Source organism: Homo sapiens, chromosome 14 (assembly GCF_000001405.40).
Source record: "Homo sapiens chromosome 14, GRCh38.p14 Primary Assembly".
Classification (NCBI taxonomy): Eukaryota; Metazoa; Chordata; class Mammalia; order Primates; family Hominidae; genus Homo; species Homo sapiens.
This window is the reverse complement of record NC_000014.9, coordinates 32,752,904-32,776,455: the sequence shown is the minus strand read 5'-3', so window position 1 is coordinate 32,776,455 and position 23,552 is coordinate 32,752,904. Positions and strand designations below refer to the sequence as shown.

The 23,552-nt window shown below is 36.9% G+C and overlaps 1 protein-coding gene across 15 annotated transcripts in view; it reads right to left on the bottom strand.

Annotated features, from left to right (window-relative positions):
• AKAP6 (A-kinase anchoring protein 6) overlaps nucleotides 1-23,552 on the bottom strand; it is a 508,387-nt gene that overhangs the window by 61,229 nt on the left and 423,606 nt on the right. For all 15 annotated transcript variants that reach the window (XM_047431969.1, XM_047431966.1, XM_024449755.2 and 12 more), the window contains one exon: nucleotides 2,563-2,778. In XM_047431969.1, the coding sequence (XP_047287925.1) occupies nucleotides 2,563-2,778 (216 nt within the window). The remainder of the gene's footprint in view (nucleotides 1-2,562; nucleotides 2,779-23,552) is intronic.

The window sequence follows — 23,552 nt, the reverse complement described above, 5'->3', positions numbered from 1 at the left end:
ATGTGGCTGGGGAGGCCTCACAATCATGGTGGAAGGCAAAAGGCACATCTTACATGGCAGCAGACAAGAGAGAATGACAACCAAGTGAAAGGGGTTTCCCCTTATAAAACCATCAGATCTAGTGAGACTTATTCACTACCATGAGAACAGTATGGGGGAAACCACCCCCATGATTCAATTATCTCCCACTCGGTCCCTCCCATAACATCTAGGAATTATGGGAGCTACAATTCAAGAGGAGATTTGGTTGGGGACACAGACAAACCATATCAAAGAAGTGAAAGTCCCAATGCACAAGCAAGGATGAAATGGGAGTGGGGACATATGATAACTGAAGAGCCAACTTAGAGGATTCTGATTCTCTGCAAAGGCAGCCTCCCACATTGGCAACTTCAAAGCAACCTGGACTCTTCACTCAACCAACAGAGATAAGAAGCAGAGAAATATCTCCCACTGAATGATGTACCCGGTGCTCACAGTATTTGTTGGCATTAGACCACTCTCTTCATTCCTTTTCTGACAGAGATTTTCAACTTTCAGCACAGAGGACCTTATTTGCTACCTTCATTTTTCCAGTCTACACATTCAGCAGTCACCTTAAACAAAAGGAAACACCTTTCTCTGTTTGGAATTTGTATCTACCTGTATGTAGTAGCTTGAACCTTTAAGAAGCAGCCAGGGTTGCCTCAAAGCTAAAGCTTGCCTTTACCATAGAAGTAGAATAAAAGGCTGAGTGCAGTGGCTTACACCTGCAACCCCAGCACATTGGGAGGCCAAGGTGGGAGGATCGCCAAGAATTTGAGACCAGCCTGGGCAACATAGTGAGACCATGTCTCTACAAAAAGTAAAATAAAAATTAGGCAGACATGCTGACACATGCCTGTAGTCCTAGCTACTTGAGAGGTTGAGGTGGGGGGATCACTTGAGCCCAGGAGTTTGAGGCTGCAGTAAGCTATGATCAGGCCACTGTACCCCAGTCTGGGAGATAGAGAAAGACTCCATCCTTGAAAAAAAAAAAAAAAGGATAAAAATGTCTACATCTAGTCTGCAGAGAACTGCTCTAGAACCCCTGATCATACGATTTCAAATAAATCCTCAAAGAAACACAACTTTGCCTCCTCCAAAGCAGTTTGAATGCTTCAAAAATTTCACAACTTTGCCTGCTGCAGTTGATTTTTGCATATATCTTATGGCCACTACCACGATTACAGGCTTAAAAGTATAGAAAGTAATAATAATAATCTCATCTGCCCTTCCAAACACTCTCAAAACAAACAAAAAACATGCCAGCTAAATAGCTTTACAAAAAAACAGGTCATTTCAAGAAAAGACATCTAATTATGTTGACTCTGATTACTAGTAATAACTTGGAAGTCTTAAGAAATTTAACAACTTCAGCTTAAAACAATTAAACAGAACTATTGACGATAAAATCACCCCCTAGACTCAATATATCTACAGATGCAAAAAGAATTAGATGGCTTGCTGATTCATTGTCCCTTCTGTTCCCAGTCCCAAGTGCCTAACACGTCAAAGAGCAGATATTAAGGCTTCGTTAAAATCAGAATTCATAGGAGGATTTTTCATGATTTTTACATTTGATTTTTCAATTTTGGATCCTGAACTTTCCAAAGTTATAGAACTGAAAAATATAAACATATAAGGAAAACTTTCCATTCTATGTATGTATGTATGTATGTATGTATGTATGCATTCCATTTATATAAGTCAAACATGGGAGTTGGGCCTTCAACTAATAGACATTGACCTCAAGGTCATTTGGAGTATGCAATCTTTTTTATCGATAAATTCTTTCCTAAAGGATATGAAGGCTCTCTGGACAAATATGCATCGTATATTACAAGGAAACAACTTCTAGTTATATCTATTTCCTTCATCTAGCAACAGCTTAAACCTGTACTCAATTTGGAAAATCCTTAAAAGGAATCTCTACTCACCACCTTGAGCACTGCATTAAAACTCTAAGAGGAAACTTGCCAATTCTCAGCAATGTAACTATCAGAAGAAGCTCTAAGCAGGAACACTAGGAGATTACTGTACAAATAGATGATGTTAACTCATGTCATGTCAGGGAAAAGTAAACAATGTACTTTATTTCGTTGTATTATCTGCAGAGCATACACATTACTCCATATGCTCTGACAGTACTAAGCTACTTTCTAGCAAAATATTCATGGGTTATTGTATGATTAATGAATATTGTTAGTGAAGGAATGATTGAAAGAATTAATGGCTTAGGTTGGTAAGGTTAAGCGAAATCTCCATGTGATTTTTTTCAAAAAGACAATGAGGTACACTAAAGGAATTTTAATAAAGCAAATAAATGTCAGTGTTATGACAAATGGAGTTTCATTTAGTGGACAGCTAGTTCGTAGTAAAACTATGAGCTTTAGTTAGTTAAAACCACTTGTAAGATGGCAAAACCACTTTAAGTTAGTTAGTAAAACCATTTATAAGATGAACACCGTTTCCAAGCCTGAAAGAATTATTTTTTGTCTGAGAAAATGACAGACAATTATGCTTAAAAAAAGCATCACTCACAGATTCCTTTCCCATCTTCTTTTGTAGACGTGTTTGCCACTGGACGGCTTGCATGACAATGGCTTCCCACCTTCTTTCAAGATTTACAATGATCAGCTGCATGGGCTGGTGGTCTGCATTCAGATTGCAAGTCTCCCGGTCATCCAAAAGATGCTGGCATAGTCGCAGAATGGAGGCAACTCCTCGACGTCGTTGCTTGATTTCACGACAGAGGGACTGCAACATAGAGAGAAACCAATCTATGAGTGTTTATAGGGCAGAGTTCCCTAAAACATGAAACACCTTCTTCCATCATAATTTCAAATTGTAGTGATACACTCAGCTACCAACAATAGGACAAGAAGAGCTCTGATGTCCCTTTTAGAATGGAGGCCTCCTACAGAAGTCCAATATGCTAAAGAATTTAGCTGCATCCCATTCCTCCACACTTTTCACTGATTTATCCCTCCGAAATGTAGGGTCCTCCCTAGACACCTGGGTAATTAACAATTTCTAGCCTAATGAAATAAATCATTTAGGTCACATGAATGCCAAACAGATTGACATGCTTTGACATAAGGTCGAAGGAAACGCAGAAGATAGAAAAATCCTCCGAAAAGAAATAGAATTTTTCCAAATTTACTCCTACATTCTTTGGAGGCAAAAAGTTCAGTTTTCTACTGGCTGAGAACAAGTTAAACAAGATTGCAAAGAATTTTTATATATAAAATCTATTATCTGAAAAAAAAAGATAAGCAATATTCCTCTTCCAAAGCTTGATTAACAAAGCAATAATGTTCTGAAAGCGAAAATTAAGATACTGGATTATTACTGCACTATTTGTTGGTTGCTGTGTTTCTTTTAATAGACATTCACACTATTTAAGAAGGACATGCCGGCACCAAAATAGCATTTTGCCCCCAGAAGCATTTGTATTGCTGCAGTGACCCTAAACTGAATGATTCAAGCAAAATAGTGGGTACACATGTCTAAAAATATTATATCCTTTCTTTGCCTACAGATAGTGTGTAAGTGATATTCTAATTCGGAGCCTTCAGGAGAAATGATGATTATATCCACAAACATCACTGAATTACTAATCTCCTTCTACTGCCACAATTGGACTGTTCTAACAGTTAACAGAGTGCTTATTAATCAACAAGGGTAAACAAGACAATGCAATTTCATTTAGTGTGAGAGTTTTAATGCCTGAAAGTATTTGTGCTTAAAATGTTAATCTAGATAAGGCTTCATTAGAAGAAATCTTAAAATGATTAAGTGTGGTGCGCTGAAATGTGCTTGGAGTGGGGGTATCAGATCAGCAGGTGGACATTTCATACAGATGTCCCACTTACTGATATAATGCATGCTAGAGCCATTTAAATGACCCTGACTCAGTAATGGCTGGAATTCTATTATTTCTGTAATGAGAGAACTCTGTACCTTTAATATTTCTGAATTTTAAATAAGGTGAATGACAAATTCCCAAACCTCTATTTATGGCAAAATATGACTAGAAATTTTATTATTCAATTTATACCAGCGCAGCAGTTTCAGTTATGTTTCTTGAACTTATCCTTATTTATTTTCCTAGAGTTCATTACTATTTTCCTATATAAGTCCTGATATAACCACCATGTCTGACAAATTTCTTTACTGCTGCTATTAATTGGTTCAGTGCTGAATGAGGAGAAATCCCTAAGACATTCAAAGATAAAACCTAAGCCTACTAAGGCAACCAGCATTGTTACCATCTCTTCCTACAACCCTGTCAAATGTCTCCCCTCAACCCCACGTGCATGTTCTCTTTCTCTCTCTCCCTCTCTGTCTCTTCTTTTCACTCAAACGCACAAACACACACACACACATCCACACACACCCTTCAATTTATCTCTTGCTCTAGAACGACTGTTGGGCAAGTCAAACTATGAAGGCCACCTAATACCTGCCAATTTGGGGCCCAATATTAAACACTTCAAGATAACATTACGGCCAAATGAAATTGGCCCAAGTGAGTCCTATAAATATTAATATTAAGGATTTGGGGTTTTCTTTCTGTTTTGTTAACTTGTTAAGCGTAAAGGCCTAGAAAAATCAAAAGAGATGTTTCTGTGCCATAGAACTGAATTTTGCAAAACTGTCTTTAAAATAAAGTTAACTAGCATAATAACTGTATTTCTTAAGCCAACAAAAAGTCCCAAAGTTCTTAGCCAAATGAAAATTTGCAATGGATGGCACTAAAGGTATGTGCAGAGTTAGCACAGGCCACATCAGGCAACATTTGCAAAGCACCCCAAACAGACTTCATTCACCTTATAGGCATTTTCAAAGTTCTGAAACAGGACATCTGAGGTTGCTAGGAGAAATTTTTCATAAAGATCATTGGCCATAAATTTTTTTGTAAGTATCTAGAATGTATCCAGTATTTTAAGTATCTAGGTGATCCCCACTCCTATCTTAAGATGAATAATCAAGATGAATACAGTGGTTTAAAAACTAAGAAGGCAATTACTGTTGATATTCAATATCTGATTTTTGGATATTCACAATTCTGCAGGGTTTTTTTTTTTTTTCCTTTAAATGAACACAGGGCTTAGTCTACATTCTGAATTAAAAATTTATCCTACATGTGCACTTGGGAAATAATGCTACTTTTAAAAAGGAGGGGAAAATTGGAAATTTTACATGACCAACATATTTTTCAGTACTTTTTTATACCTAGAAGATATAATTAATAAAATAACATTTTTCTACATAAATGGGCTTCCATGACAGCCATTAAAATATACATATGCATTCGTAATCAAAAATTCATAATAAAATCAGTGGATGTGCTGGCAACATTTCTTAGAATCAGTAGTTTATATTAATTCCATAATAAAATATGCATAGATAGAAACAATTATTATAACTATCTTTGGCTTCATTTCAGAGAAAATGTGCTTTGAAACAGAAACTCAAGGTAAGTAACCTAAGTAAAGCACAGAAATAAGACAAACACATCCCTACCTCCCTGATCTCCTCAAATGTGTACTGCACTTTCCATATGCTAGGCACCGTTTCAGGAATGAAGCTTTCAAAAAGGAGCAAGTTCCCTTTTACCCTCAAGGAGTTGAGAGTCTACTGGAAGTAAACTATACAAATAAGTATAATATCAAAGAGGAAGGTGCTAACAGAAGTATGTGCAAGTTGCTATTGAAGAGTCAATGAAATATTCAGGGGAATGGTGTGAACCAGATGGACCAAGATGGGTGGTGGTGGTTACATGGGTAGAAGGCTGAGAGGTATGTTAAAGTGGAAAACAAGTAAGTAGCCTCTGGCAGTGGGAGTGCCTGGTGTGTTGGGGAGAGACAGTGAAGCAGCTGAGCTGGAAAAGGAAGTAGGAAACAGAAAAGTTTGAAATGCTTTTCATTATTGCCATTTTTAAGCATTTTCCTTGATATCTAATGAGATCATGTTGGTTCCCATGCATAGTCATATTGCCTTCCTAGAAAACTATAAAGAAGAGGGAAACAAAATTTAAAAAGAAAGAAAAACACAACTATCAATATGCCTAAGAAAGGGATTGCAAGTGCTTTTATATTTACCTATAATTTGATAATCTTTAGGCAATTTCGTCTTGCAAGGTTAAATCTGTTAGAATGGAGGTCATTATCTGTCTTTTTTCCCCCTTTATAATGATCTCCGATCCACATTATAAGGTAGTTACCAACAGGCTTAAGGCTTTTGTTTCACATTTGTAAACCGTCAATTTGATTTTCAATTTACCAGTGGCAATGTGCAGGGGTGTTTTTTGGTTTATCTGGGTTTTATTCCTCTACTGACTTCCTCTGTCACTCTTTTCAACTGTTTAAACCAATCATATTATTGAGCAAATGTGCAATATTATTCCTCACATTGGCTTCAGTTTAACACCATTGAAGTTAAGACTTTCAATACTGGTATTTAGTCTTCATTATATATCAAATATGTGCATATATGCAAACAGATAGATATTTACTTATATTTACTTGTATACACATACTTGACATTGAATGTCATATAGTTTATAAAAGGATATAAATAAGCTTATAATAAAAGAACAGCTTTATTTACACCAAGAACTGTTACAGCAAATGAGATGTAAGAACCAGATCAGAAAAAAAGAGAGATGAGAAGGAAAATAATACTTTAAAAACACCAAAACTAAGTATATATTAAAAACAGAGAGAAACAAATTTAGCTGAGAAACTCCAAAGCAATTTGTCTCCAATATTTATTACATAATTTAACTTTGTAGGTTGATTAAACATCATTAGGTAGGCCAATATGAACAAAGTGGTGGGACTTTAGCTGATCTGTTAAAAAAAAAAAAAAAAAAAACCCATGAAGCAATTCCCACTTTCAGACTTCGCCTTCTAAACTGATCAACTGTTTAACATCAGTTGAGCATGGCTTCTATGTGGCAAGCACAACAAAGAAGGTATAATCTGCATATATGATAATGTACCTGCCTTCAATCTAGCTGGAGAGAGAAGGGAAGTGTGAACAAACACAGGTGACTTCTAGTTTAAATATTATCAAGAGGGGCCAGGCGCAGTGGCTCATATCTGTAATCCCAGCACTGTGGGAGGAGGAGGCAGGCGGATCACTTGAAGTCAGGAGTTCAAGACCAGCCTATCCAACACAGTGAAACCCCATCTCTATTAAAAATATAAAAATTAGCTGGGTGTGGTGGTGGGTGCCTGTAATCCCAGCTACTCGGGAGGCTGAGGCAGGAGAATGGCTTGAGCCCAGGAGGTGGAGGTTGCAGTGGGCCGAGATCGTGCCATTGCACTGCAGCCTGGGCTACAAGAGTGACACTCTGTCTCAAAAAAAAAAAAAAAAAAAAAAAAAAATCAAAAGAGCAGCTGCATCCCCTAGTTGTAAGTTTCCTAAAATTTTCCATGTGTTTTGCTGTCTCCTCTTTGTCTGCTACCTATGACCAGATTTTCTACAACAAGGGTCCTCAGAGTACGGTGCCCACGCCAAGCAGTATTCACATCACCCAGAAACTTGTTAGAACTGCAAATTCTCTGATGCTACTATACGTCTTCTGAATCAGGAATACTGGGGTGATGCCCAATGAACCATGCTTTAACAAGCAAGCCCTATAGGTGATTCCAATACATGCTAAAGTTTGAGAACACTAGTCTACAGGAAATAAAGAAACTTAGTTTTTAGGTAAGAGGATTAATCTAGCTGAGTAGACTTTTTAAAGTATAAAAATAGTAATAGAAATTTTATGTTCTAATTCTGGAATGAAACTGGTAGCCAAGAGCCTAGGGACCACAATTGTTGATGATCAATTACTTTCCTATTTTTATCAAATGACTGAAAAGAAATGAGTGAATCAATGAATAGATCTTTTCATCCAGTGATATCTTTATGTTACTAGTATTTTCTTGATGATCTCCAGAATTTCCAGTGCAATTATGTATTAGGTCATTTGGATCCAGTATTTGGTGATTTTACTCTTTTTTGTCATTTTTATCAAATAAGTCATTTGCTAATTAATGACTCTAATACATATGGCATTTTGCTAAGCTAAAAAGAAACTCTGCTCCCAGAAAGCACACATAATAAAGCAAAACAATGATGATTACTTGGAAGGTACAAGCTATTCAGGTACAGATAATGTTAATGCCTGAAGCTATACTCTAATAAGAAATAGAGCAAGTGGGGAAAATAAGAGGCTATTCTGGTACCTCTATGCTTCTTTAGAAGATGCATTTGTCTGGCTGCTTTGGGATCATTGTTTTGTGGGGGAAGGTTGGCAAATGATAATTTTCATAGCAAATAAGCATTCATTGGGCACCATTTATGTGCCAAACTTTATACTTTTCATTATGGAATTAGTGTTGGTGGATAAGAGGCATGTAATAAAATGTACCTGTTCTTAAGAGCTGGTGGCAAAGAGAAGACACTGATTCCTCAAAGTGAGAGAAATAAATACGAGGCAAAGGTTTTCTGTAAGACCATCAGGTTGTAGTAGGTTCTAAATAAGGTAAGGGAGGTGAATGTGCTTTGAGAATAGTGAGGCCATGACCCAAATGTAAGGTGTGATTGATATATATGCTAAACTATGGGCACTGAGTTTGAGAATAAAAAAGATCATTATTAACTGGAGTAGACAGATTAGGATTCATGGGACTAAAACCAGGCTGTGAAAGTTGCTGAAGGTAAGAAAGGTGGAGAGAAGAGAGGATAGGCATTACAGGTTGGGGAGCACACATTTAAAAAGGCCAAGAAGCCATAATTTTTGTAACATTTTAAAACAAGATGGAAGTTCAAGTGGGGTGTGGTAATAATCATTATTCAAGTATTGATCTATCCATCCAAATGTACTTATTGAGTGCCTTTTATTTGCCAAGCAGTGCTCTCAGTGGTGGGGATATAGCAGTGAGCAAGACACACAAAATGTCTACTTTCATAGAATTTACATTCACATTTGTATGCATGTGAATGATGAGAGGCTGGAAACAAAACATGAAATATACAAGAAAATATCAGATAGTGCTAAAAGCTATCAAATAAAACAGGGTGATATGACAGAAAGTGGCTTGGGAGTTATTTTCGTTTGGGTTTTCAATAAAGCTTCTCTGAGAAGGTGACTTCACATAATAACAAGTTCAATGTAGAAACAAAATATCACCTAGTGTTCTGATGCTGTAATAGTGTAGACAAGATAATGTTCATACAATCAAGACTAATTTATGCCATAAAAGACTTCTTTTACAGTTAATTATGGCATATTAAAGATTAAATATAAGATACCTTTCAATAAAATAAGTAAAATTAAAAAGCTCTGGTATAATTAAGTCAGGAAAGAATAGTTTTTTCAACAAATGGTGCTGAGACAACTGGATATCCACATGCAAAAGAATGAATTGAACCCCTATCCCACACCATCTACAAAACTAACACAAAATGGATCATACTCTTAATTGTAAGAGCTAAAACTATAAAAATCTTAGAAGAAAATATAGAGGTAAATATTCATCATGTTGGGTTAGACAATGATTTTGTAGATATTACATCAAAAGTAGAAACAGCTTTTGACTTCATAGGCAATGGCTTCTTCTTTATGACACAAAAGTATAAGCAACTTTTGGGCTTCATCAAAATTTAAAGCTTTTGCACTTCAGATGATACCATAGAAAAGTGAAAAGAAAAACCACAGAATGGGAGAAAATATCAAGACCAGTAACTCAATTTTTTAAATGGACAAAGTATTTGAATAGACATTTCTGCAAACACATACAAATGGCAAAAAAATATGAAAAAAGGCTCAACACAATCAGTCATCAGATAAATGCAAATGTAAGCCATGATTAGATATTACTTCACCCCCTAGTAGGATGGCTAAAAAGGAAATAACAAGTGTTAACAAGGATGTGGAGAAATTGGAACCCTCATCCATTAGTGGGATTGCAAAATGGTGCAGCCACATGAAAAAACAGTATGACATTTCCTCAAAAAGTTAAACATATAATTACTGTATGATCCAGCGATTTCCTTTTGAATATATACCCAAGAGAACTGAAAACATATGACCACATAAAAACCTACACACAAATATTCATAATGGCATTATTCATAAAGCCAAAAAGTGGAAACATGTCAAACACCCATCAACTGTGAGTGGATTAAAAAAATGCAGTAAATACATATAATGTAATATTATTTGGCATTTAAAAATGAAGTACTTATACATATCATAACATGGATGAACCTTGAGAACATCATATTAAGTGAAAGAAGACAGATACAAAAGGTCACATATTTTACGATTCCTTTTATATGAAATGTCCAGAATAGGCAAATACATAGAAACAGAAAGTGGAATAGTGATTGCCATGGCCTCCAGTGAGGGGCAAAAAGCGAGCTAATGGGTAAGGGGTTTCTTTTAAGAGTGGTGAAAACATTCTGAAATAAGATTTTCTGGTATGTAAATTATATCTCAATGAAAATATTATTTTAAGAAAACCTCTTGGTAAGGCCAGAAATATATTATCAACCCCATAAATGATTATACAATCAGAGAATTTACCATTCTGCTAGGGTGTGTCATACAACAGATGCTAATGATATAACTAATACCATACAATCACTATGGTTCTGCAACCATGGGTGGATACAAGGATTAATTTACCAATGCAAACTTGTAGGTTTTTTTTTTTTTTTTAAGTTATGGCTATAAAATGTCCTCGGATAGAGTCATTACTACATTATACATACATTCTGCCATATACATCTATGTATTTCTGCCAACAGATCAGACATTCTGCTGTATGATAAAAATAATGCAGTGTCATTTTTAATATAGCTGTCCTACTCCTAGAAATAGCATAAAACATAAACATAAAAGTAAACATAGAAGACTATGAATCTGAAAGAGGAGTTAAAGCAAATGTGGGAAATGAAGAATGTTAACTAAATCTAATTATTGCAGTGATGAATTTCATATATAATCATATACATCTTATGAAACTGTAATCTATTGTGGTGTTAGTATCAGTGCAAAAATGAGAGACCTGACATATCAGATGTGCTTCACATACTTTACCAAAGATCATTCTGAGTCGACTATATGCATCTGAACCAATACAAAATAAAAATAATGTTACATTCTCTTCAAATATTTCATCAAGATTCACTTGAAGCCGGGTGCGGTGGCTCACACCTGTAATCCCAGCACTTTGGGAGGCTGAGGCAGGCGGATCACGAGGTCAGGAGTTCAAGACCAGCCTGACCAACATGGTGAAACCCCGTCTCTACCATAAATACAAAAATTAGCTGGGCGTGGTGGCATGTACCTGTAATCCCAGCTACTCAGGAGGCTGAGGCAGGAGAATTGCTTGAACCTGGGAGGCAGAGGTTGCAGTGAGCCGAGATCGCACCACCGCATTCCAGCCCTGGTGACAGAGAGAGATTCCGTCTCAAAAAAAAAAAAAAAAAAAGATTCACTTGAATGCAAAATAATAGCCTATAATCATTGGGACTTATCAATTGCTGGAGCACTATTTTAAATAATATTTTCTTGGTTATTTTCACTAATCTCCAGCAGTAATGACCAACATTTTTTGTATATTTATGTGTGCCACACATTTTAAAAGGTACTTTATATGTATTGAATCATTTAATCCTCACAGCAACACTACAATATGTGTGTGTGCGTGTGTGTGTGTGTGTGTGTGTATTATTGTCATCTATCTATTTGACAAACGAGGAAATGGAGACACAGAGTGGTTAAGTAGCTGACCATAGGTACACAGCTAATAAGCAACAAAGGCAGGATTTTAACCCAGGCAGCCTGAATCCAAAGCTGATTCACAAAAACAATATGCTACATTGCTTTTCATAAGAAAGCTGAAGAAGCCTGTATGATTTCTACATTTTCAGACAATCTTGTCCCTGATTTCTAACCAGAAGTGGCCATAGCCATAAAGTTATTGTTAAGACAGCCAACAACCTCTTTCTGCAAAGGGAAGGAGATTGAACCTTTTTAGAGGTCCAATCTTCACAGGCCTGCAAATATGTAACAGTTAGTAATCTATACAGAATTTAAGCTCAGGGTGGTTATAATAACAGGGATGGGAAAAATACTGATTCATTCATTGAACAAATATTTATGGAACACTTTTCATAATAGACAGTGTTGTAAGTACTTCAGAATTTCAGTGAACAAAACAGACAAAACCTTTTCTCAAAGACCTCATATTCCTGGGGACAGTGGGAGTAATCTCTTTCCTGAGGAAGATGTAAATTATATAAATAATAAAGAAGAGATTAAAAAGGTAGGAAACATTCATTTAGGCAAGTGATTATCAACATTTCCAGCAAGGGGTCAGAAGCTCTTTTGGTCCTGATAGCTCTATTCTCTAGCCAATTATGTGTTTAACTATACCTTGCATATAAATGTTGCAAATAAGAATTTGTATCTTGGAATTGTAAGAAGTAATTCTTCAAAATAGCAAAACATTAAAATACCTCAAATGAAGTATGAATAATGACTTGCATATTTTAAAGAAAATATAGGCAAATGACATCTGGGTGTTTTAACTGATTACAAACTTAAAAGACAACGTCAGCCAATATAGAGATTCAGCTCAGTTGCAAACCCTGGAACTTAATCTATATTGAAGCTAAATATTCTATAAGCATGCAGTGAAGTGCAAAAAATAGCAATTGAAAAATGACATGATTAAATGGCACAACATGCAATCATTTGCTCTCAATTATATCAATGTATCTTCTTCATTTCTAGGAGTCAGGCAGAAATATTGTTTTTTAAAAGCCTCTATTAAATTGGTCACCAATAATAAAATAGATGAGAGTCCTAATAAGCTCATTTACATAACATACATCATATACTACAAAACTATTCTCTCCAAATAGTTTTGCTCATAGATTTGTCTCCTGGTTGTCATGAGTCTTTGCCACATTAGCAGATTTTAAAAGCATAACACTGTCTTCAGGACCATTTGTAGAAAAACGTTTATGAAACTTTTCTAGTTAACCCTTGGCAGGATCCTTATTGCTAATTATGGAAAAGGTATTGATATAATATCTTGGCTGTCACATTTTATTATGGTGATGGTAGAAGCAGAATCTAAGTTTGACATTTTGGAAATATCATCTAATTGCAAGTCAGAAACAGAGAATGACAGTTTTAAGTAGATTATGACTTCTTTCAAAACAGCAAACTGGTTTATTCAATGTAAAAGCTAGATTTTAAAAATAGCATTAAAGCTTCCTGAGTTGGTTCACCAAGCATATTTCTATTGGCTCTTGAAGAGGAGTTGGGTAGTGTGCCAAAATAGTTTCGACATTGTACATGATATTATAAGTCTAGATTCAAACACTAAATTATTTCTTATAACCATTTAAAATAAAAATATTTTCAGTAAGTCTTTTCATTTTTAAGAAAAATTACCTCCCCTCTGTTTGTTTACCCAGTCCACAAATAAGTGAGGTCTAAAGTTACCGCAATCACCTTTACCTCCATGGCCTTATTGAACTGACCTTTTGACCTAAAGATCTTAATTTTTCTTGCCATCTGGTATACTCACCAATCAAGTTGAATCATTAAGGGCAACCAGGATTATTAATTAATACTGTAAATTCTTGAAGATCCTTGGATGAATAGATACATCAAGGGAAAAGAATCATTCTTTTACAAACATTCACAATTTTGTTTTAATAGTTTGTATTTTTTTCTGTTGGAAAAAATATGTATTAATTTTACTTGGAAAGGGGCATTTCTATTCCTCTTGGCTTTTGTGTAGCTGAGGGCCAAAATATAATAACCATTCTAAAAATGTAGACCCTCAGTGAGTTATCCCACGAAAGCTGCGGTTATCTCTGTGTGGCATTCTTTAATTTCTTTGTTACTTTCCCTAAACTAAGTTACATACTTTTAAATATGTTTGTTTTTAAGAGTCAAGCTCAGTGGCCAGTCAAGCTCAGTGTTTAGTTCATATTCACATGTAATTAATAATATGTTATATCGTTCCTTTTCTAAATTAAAAACACTATTAAAATTCCAGACATATAAAACAATATGAAGATTAAGTTACTCTAAAGAAAACTGTAATAGCTTACAGATTGCTTGTATCATTACTAAAATGCTGGTATCTATTACAGAGTCTCCCTGGAATAAAGTATGCAATTTTAGCAATAATCTGTTAAAAACATGTCCATTATTGTTAAAATGCTCAAATAGATTGCAATTATAGGAAGGTAACTTTTAGTAGTAGGGGGAAAAAGGTGCTGGATATAAACACGACTTAGCCATTATACTACAAAATACTTTTCCTTAAAACCCCACAATCACACTTTTCCTAAGCAGATAAGCATTAATTGCCATTTATTTTTATATTATTATATTTTGAAATCTATTTACAACACCCACTGTGCTTTTTATCTTTTATTGATTCTGTGGGAATTAGTTCAAAGTAATTCTGGGGAATGGATGAAGGCATTTTCCTTCTCTAGATTATTTGTTGATCCTAGCTACCTGAAATCATCTTTGCTTTTAATAGATCTTGGGTATTCACTGGTCAGGTCAAAGGATATGCAGGACAGTCTTGAAGAAAGGAAGGAAATGATTCAGTATGAGAGGGTACGGTGCCATACACCCCGTCAGTAAACTCTCTGAAAAAAGAATCATAATAAAAGGCCACAAAAGGGTATGAAATAACATTAAGAAAGAAAGCAAGAGAACACAGGAGCTAGGATGATGACCCAAGAGGAATTCCTAGGGATAATGTAGAACACACAGGCGACCTGACTCATGGGAGAGGACAGATTATTTACTAATTAGTTTCATGACTTGCTCAACCCTGCTGCATGGTATTTTTCTTGCTCTCTCATCCATACGTAGTTGGCTATTCTCCACCCTTCTCCTCTAGCAAGCCTTATTTTTCCAGACTTATTTTTAGCTAATATATTCTTAATTTTCTAACAAGCCACTCCTAGAACTCGTCACAAAGTTCAGACTGTTACTTGAAGTATAAACGCTAGGAAAAGGTATTTTAGGAAAGTTTTCCTATTATTCCAGAATGCTACAGAAGGGAAATAAATGGATTCAAGAACTCTAGGGACATAACAAGAATGCAGGAAGAGAGTCAAGCATGGGGAAATAACACCTCTAAAAAGAAGGAAAATGATACTAGAGAGAAAAAGTCAACATTAGAAAAGACATACTGTTTATTCATTTACTCCTCTGTGACTCGGAAGAGGCAAAGGTAGAGATGGCTTTATAAACTTCATATTTCTGTTTTTATTTTCATAGCGTCTAAAATAAATAGTACATTTTCCTATGAGTTCGGACCACTGGGTATTTGCTTCTTAGCTCTTTCCTTTCCGTTTGTGGTGGAAGCTCAAGGCAACTTGATTCCTTTTCACCAGTTTTCAGTATTCCCAGATGTGTGGTAATACTCTCAGGGTCATTTAGAAGTTTAACCAATACATAACAGCAAAATACTCTTCAAATATGATATTAGGTAGTAGAGAGATATTGACTAAATATTAGTCAACTGGTAAATTGTTATAATGATTATTTAGCTTCAAGCAGTATTTCAACCCTGTGAAAAGGAAATATAATAACTTCATTCATCAAACACTCTTATAGCTAAAACAAAGTGAAGATCTAGGAGAATTTTTCAAGACCATTTTCTTGAATAAAGCTAATTTTCCTTTAGAGGAATAAATTTTATTTTCTTCTGGGAAAAGACACCACACCTCTCTCCTGCCTGCTCTCTCAAAGAAGATTGAATACACGGGAGGGTAGTACTTTCATTTATGCCATCTAACATTTTGGCAGCAAGACAGAACACAAGTCACTAATCATAAAGGTGTTTTATTTGAATATCTGAGAAGCAATGTGGATTGAAAAACAAACCACAACTTAAGAGTTTTCTCCTAGTTTGATAATAACTACTTGTGCAATCTCAGGTAAAACATGTAACTTCTATGTGCCCTCCATACTCTTTCTCTAAAATGCATTGATCCTTTAGGCTCTAACATCTTCTGGGATCAAATATTATATAACCTTATTCTGAGACAGGATAAATGTCCTCTGGTGATCTAAGATGGACTTTTAAAAAATAATTATAAAATACAATTTTGAATATCTCTCACATAAGATATAAGTTGGTTCTCATCTTCTCTGATTAACTTCTAGGGGTGTCAGAATATTAATTTCAATATGCCTTTATTGCTGGCTTTAACTGGATAAGTGTGTTGTTGCAATAATTTGCATGAAACAACCTTGTTTGGTCTCAGATTCCGTTCATGTCTTGGTCGTGTTCTAACACCTTCAAAGTCTAACTCCAAATAACATTATAGTGAGAACCACATGCGTAAGCAAAGCAAACAAGATTGAAAATGTAACTTCCATTGTTGCTTTGATAAAGTTTTGAAATTTGTTGCACCAGTATTTTATTAAGAGTTAGAATGGCATGTGACATAGTTTGGACAGCTGTCCCTGCCCAAATCTCATGTTGAAGTGTAATCCCCTATGCTGGAGGTGGGGCCTGGTGGGAGGTGTTTGGGTCATGGGGGAAGATCCCTCACGATTTGGTGCTGTCTTCATGACAGTGAATTATTGCAAGATATGGTCATTTAAAAGTGTGTGGCACCTCCCCATCCCCCTTGCTTGCTCTTGCTTTTGCCTTGTGTTGTGCCTGCTCCCCCTTTGCCTTCCACTATGATTGTAACTTCCTGAGTCCTCCCTAGAAGCTGAGCAGATGACAGCACCATGCTTCCTGTGAAGCCTGCAGAACTGTGAGCCAATTAAACCTCTTTTTTCTTTTTATAAATTACCCAGTCTCAGGTATCTCTTTATAGCAATGCAAGAATGGCTTCATACAGCATGACTAAACAGACACTCATTGGCTCTTTTGCTGGTGGTCTTGGCTTGGATAAGGAGTAAATGGGTCTTGAAACATCCTTCCATTTCCTAAAAGTCATTTCTCCCAATCATGACTAAAGAAAAATAAAGAAGGATATTTTGAGAAAAGGCAGAGGGCACGAGGAAAAAGGCAGAGGGCATGATGGAAAAGAGGAACCTAGGTTACTGCCTAGTCTATGCTTCTCAAAAGAACATTCAACATCAAACCTTTCAATCTATTATTACACTTATCCTAATAATATTAATTTCAAAAAAGAAAGAAAAATATCCTTGAGAAAAAAGAATGTGATATTCTAAATGTAGAGGGTATAACTTGGGATTTAATCAGCCATTTAGAGCACCAGTAAAATTAAAAGAGATAAGTTAGGCCATTTTTTTTCCCAGATGGGAATAATGATTTATGTCTCCGCCCTCTCTGAGAGGTTTTGGGAGGATTAATGAGCTAATGTCTGTAAAGCTCTTTAAGCTCCTTGTATGGAGGTGCAACATAAACACAAGGTGAAAAATGTTAGCAAACTCTATGCTGAGTTGAGCTCCCAAAAGTAAAGCCCCTGGGAACGAGAAACTGTTGCAAGTTGAGATGGTAAATCTCTGAGTTCCAATGCCAGAGGAGCCTTGGTCTGTTGTCATATGTGTTTTTAATTCTGTTTAAAATAGTACTTAGTAGTATTAATAAGCATTTCTATATTTCCTATTAATCATAGTAGCCCCTGTGATCATCATTTTTTGTTTGTTTGTTTTTTTGAGATGGAGTTTCACTCTTGTTGCCCAGGGTGGAGTGCAATGGTGCGATCTCGGCTCATGGCATCCTTCTCCTCCTGGGTTCAAGCGATTCTCCTGCCTCAGCCTCCCAAGCAGCTGGGATTACAGGCATGTGCCACCACGCCTGGATAATTTTGTATTTTTAGTAGAGATGGGGTTTCTCCATGTTGGTCAGGCTGATCTCAAACTCCTGACCTCAGGTGATCTGCCCGCCTCGGCCTCCCAAAGTGCTGGGATTACAGGCGTGAGCCATTGCACCCAGCCTCATTTTTTTTGTTTCTATGCATCAAATGATACAGGTTTATTACCTATATTTTACAGAGTAAAAATTGGGATGTGAAAGTTACAAAGCCATCAAGGATAACCCACAAGAAACCAATGGTTCAACGTTACTGGACTATGGCCTGGATTGGTATTCTGATGTAGGCTGCCAGCTGGCTCTGACTGTGTGATCCTGGGTGAGTCATTTAATTTATCAGAGATTTGGTTTTCTTCTCTTCGGAATAAGGAGGCTAAGTTAGCTAGATGAGCTCAGGTATCAATTGGTGAGGATATTCTACCATCTTCTAAGCACTTCTTGAGTATCTAGTGACTCCAAGGCATTGTCTATAATACTATAAAGGGCATGCAAAACAAATAAAACTTCAAGATACTTTCTAAAAGTTTATACTTTAGTCTGTTGACAAGATACACAGACTCATAAGTACACATATTTGAATAATATTCAAATAAGCACACAAAACAACACAGGAATTTCTTCCATCGCTTATCTCCAGGCCTCCACACATGCATATATTGTTCTGTTTCGTCCCCTCCACTTCAGATCTCATTTTATAGTCACTTATTCCAGGAATTTCCTCACTTCTCTTCACGAGAAAACACCCAAGCCCTCCCAGGAATGTCTTGTGCACTTCCATAGCACACTATGTTAACTCCCATCCAACCACATCCACATCCTACTCAACTTGCATGTTTCACTGTCTGTATCTCCGTTTAGCCTGTGTGTTCCTTGGAAGAGGACTATATATGGCTCACCACAGTATCCACCATGCCCAGCACTTGACACAGATGTTTGCTGAAGAGAAGGGTGTTGAATAAATTAAAAATATCTCTACTTATACTCCCCAAATCATCTTGAACTAGTTCTCATTTCTAACTACCAGAACCTCTCCATTCTTACATACATTCTATTACTTACAATGCCTTTCATTAAACATTCCCTTCCTTATTTAAAGGGGAGCCTGGGCTGATCCAACAGTTAGCATTCCAGGGACAGATGGACTTTTCATGGGAGTGAGGCGTTCTCAGAAGACCTCCTCCCTCTTCCCCACCCCTACCAACAAACCAGTTCAGAAATCCTATCATCTCTAACCTAGCCTCCTAGGAGGATGTCAGCAAGATGGCAAAATAGGACTTTCCAGTGCTCATCCCCTAAACAGACACATCAATTTGAACAACTATTCATACACAAACATACCTTCACAAGAGCTAAGGAAACCAGATGAGAGATTACAGCACTTGGGGGTAGCACAGAGACAAGAAAAGATGTATTGAAAAGGCTAGGAAGGAAACTTTTACATTATAGCTGTCTCTCCTTCCCCAAGCCTCGGCAGCACAACATGGAAAGACACCCACCATTTGAGGCAAGGAGAATGAATTGAGTACCTGACTTTATCTGGGACTCTAGCACCAGGCTAGCCCCTACAACCCCAGGCACCACTCTGGCCTTTGCAGCCCCAGACTACAGCTTGGCACTCATGGACCCAGTCTCCAAGCCTCCCCCACTGTCAGGCTGGCACATGCACACCCCAGCTCCAGGTCAGCACGTGCAACTTCAGACACCAGGATGGCACCCGTGATTCTAGGCAGGAGGCTGCTATCCACTGTCCCAGTCTCCAGGCCAGCCCCTGCAGCATCACACTGCAATGGACTCACAGTCAAAACCCATCCCAGGAGACCCTAGCACCAGGACAGCTACTGGGGAACCAGCCTTGGAGGCCTATTCCAGCATCAGGCTGGCCCCTGTGGCCTTAGGCTCTAAGCTAGCTCCTGCAGAGATAGCCTCCAGGCCATTATGCACAAACCCAGCCTCCACGCCCTACCCTGCAGAGCAAGGCTTCAGGTCAGCATCCATAGCCCCAGGTACCAGGCTAGAACCCATGGGCTGAAGCCAATGATAGAGGTTCCAGACCAACGCCTCATGGACCCAGGCTCCAGGCCAGTCACTGTTGCCTTAGGCTCCAGTGTGCCCTAATATACTCCAGCACTGGGCTGATACCCACACACTCAGGCTCCAGGATTACCCCTGTGAGCCCAGGATCCAGGCTCACCCTAGTACAGCTCCAGAAGCCAGGTCCACCTCCATGACTCAGACTCCAGGCCTATCCCCAAAGACCCAAGCACTGGCCTATCCCAGTGTTAGGCCAGCCCCCACAGACTCAGGCTCAAGGCCCACAGAGTACCAGGTTGACACTAGAGAACCCTGGCTGCACCCAGCCACCACAGACACAAGCTTCAGGCCTGTCCTGGTAGATTCTAGCTCCAGGCTCATCCCAGTGGACCTAGCTCCAGGCATGATCCTATAGACCCAGGCTCAAGGCAAGTCCCTATGAATCCAGGTGCCAAGCCCACCCACCTGCTGACCCAGGTAGCAGGCCAGCCTGGCCATGGACCCTACCAGATGTCACACTCAGAATCTCTAGACCAATTGACTGGTGAAGAGTTTTCCCTGATGAAGTGAGTCTGTAAAGACTGGAATAGGTGGCTACTTCTTGAAATGTGCAGGCACAAATGCCTAGCCCCAAGGATCACAAATAATCAGAGAAACATGACAGTACCAAACAAACAAAATAAACCATGAGTTAGTGGCCCTAAATGTCTTCTTGGCAAATAATTAAAAATAATTGTCTTGGCTGGGCTCATGCCTGTAATCCCAGCACTTTGGGAGAATCACTCGAGCCCAGGAGTTTGAGACCAGCTGGGCAACATGGTGAAACCTTGTCTGTACAAAAAATTCAAAAAGTTGCTGGGTGTGGTGGTATTCACCTGTAGTGTCAGCTACTCAGGAGGCTAAGGTGGAGGGAACCCTTGAGCCCAAGAGGTTGAAGCTGCAGTGACCCAAGATCATGCTGCTACACTACAGCCTGGGAGAGAGAGTGAGATCCTGTCTCAAAAATTAATAATAATAATAATAATAATAATAATTGCCTTAATCTCAGTGGGCTACAAGAGAACACAAATAAACAACTAAACAAAACAAACAACTAACAAAACTAACAAACAACAATAAAATTAAACAACTAAACAAAATCTGGTAAGCAATACACAAACAAAACTACAGTTCAACAAAAAGAAACAATAAAAATGAACCAAAGAGAAATTTTGGAGCTAAATAACATAATGACTGAACCAAAAAATTCCATAAAGAGCTTCAACAGCAGACTCAAGAAGAAGAAAAAAAACCACAGAGCTTGAAAACATTGTTTGAGATTACCTAGTAAGTAGAACAAAAAGAAAAAAATAATGAAAATGAGTGAAGAAAGCCAACAGTACTTATTGAGCCACACCAAGTGAACCAATGCATGCATATGAAAGTCTCAGAATAAGCAAAGCCAGAGAAGGGGGCAAAAAGCTTATTTAAAGAAACAGTGAGAGAAAATTTCCAAAATCTGAAGAGGGACATGAACATTCAGATCTAAGAATCTCAAAGAACCCCAAATCAATTAAATACAGATATCTTCACCAGGACAAATTATAATCAAATTCTCAAAAGTCAAAGACAAAGAGAGAATATTGAAAGCAGCATGAGAAAAGCAACTCATTATTTACAAGGGTAGCTTTAACACTATCAGCAGATTTTTCAGCAGAAACTTTGCGGGGCAGGAAAGAGTGGGAAGATATATTCAAAGTGCTAAAGGAAAAGAAAGTATTCTTGGCAACCAAGAATACCATATTTGGCAATGATGTCCTTCAGAAATAAAGGAGAGATAAGGATTTTCCTAGAGAAATAAAAGTTGTGGAAGTTCATCACCACTAAACCTGCCTTACAAGAAATGCTAAAGGAAGTTCAAGTTGAAACAAAAGGATGCTAAAAACATGAAAACACATGAAAGTATAAAACTTAGTGTAAATGTAAAGATAAAGTCAAATTCAGAATATTCCAATAAAGTGGTGGTGCATAAATCACTTGTAACTCTAGTATAAAAGGTAAAAGACAAAAGTAATAAAATAATTATAGCTAAAATAGTTTGGTAATGAATACATTTTACATTACATATGTAAGATATGTGAATTGTGACATCAGCAAAATGGGGGAGGAGGAGAAGTTAAAATGTAGTTTTTGTATGTGGTCACAGTTAAGCTGTTAACATCAGTTGCATACTCCATGCAAATGGTAACCAAAAGAGAGCAGGGTGGCTATACTTTTATCAGACAAAAACTTTCACAAGAGACAAAGATGGTCATTTTATAATGATAAAGGCGTAAATTCATCTAAAGGATATAACAATTATAAATATATATGCACCCAACACCAGAGCACCTTTATATCTAAAGCAAATATTGACAGAAACGAAGAGAGAAATAGCAATACAATTATAGTAGGAGCCTTCAATACCCTGCTTTCAATAATGGACAGATCAAAATTCCAATGACTTTTTCTATAGAAATAGAAAAAATAATTATAAAATTTATGTAGAACTACAAAAGACCCTATAGAGCCAAAATAATATTAAGCAAAAAGTAAAAAGCTGGAGAGATCACACTTCCTGATATCAAAATATACCACAAAGCTATAGTAATCAAAACAGCATGGTACTCACATTAAAAACAAACACATGTAGTCCAACTGAACAGAAGAGAGAGCCCCAAAATAAATCCACACATTCATGATCAATTTATTTTCAACAAAGGTAGCAAGAACACGCCATGGGAAAATAACAATCTCTTGAATAAATTGTTGGGAAAATTGAATATCCACATGCAGAAGAATGAAACTGGACCTTTATCTCACACCATATACAAGAATCAACTCAAAATGGATTAAAGACTTAAAAGTAAAACATAAAACCAAAATTGCTATAAACTTTCCCCCTAGAAAACATAGGGGAAAAGTTTCTTGACATTGGTCTGAACGAGTTTTGGGATATGACCTCGAAAACACAAGAAACAAAAACAGATTGATAGAATTACATCAAACTAAAAAGCTCTGCACAGAAAGGAAACAATCAACAGAGTGAAAAGACAACCTACTGAATGGAAGAAAATATTTACAAACCATACATCTGATAAGGGGTTAATATCCCAAATAGACAAGGAACTTAACCAAACAGCAAGAAAACAAATAATCCAAATAGGCAAAGTCCCTGAACAGATATTTCTCAACAGAAGACAGGTTTATGAAAAAATGCTCAACATCACTAATCATCAGAGAAATACAAATTAAAGCAATAAGGAGATATCACCTCACACCTGTTAGAATGGCTATTATCAAAAAGAGAAAAGATAGCAAGTGTTAGCAAGGATATGGAGAAAAGGGAACCCTTGTACACTGTTGTTGGGAATGTAAATTAATATAAATATGGAAAACAATATGAAGTTTCCTAAAAAAATTAAAAGCAGAACTACCACATGATCCAGCAATACCACTTCTGGATATATATCCTAAGGAAGTAAAATCAGTATGTCAAAAAGATGTCTGCACTACCATTTTCATTGCATTATTCATAATAATCAAGATATGGAAAAAACCAAACTGATCAATGGATATAGAAAATGTGGGATAAACACATTCATACACATACACACACTTACA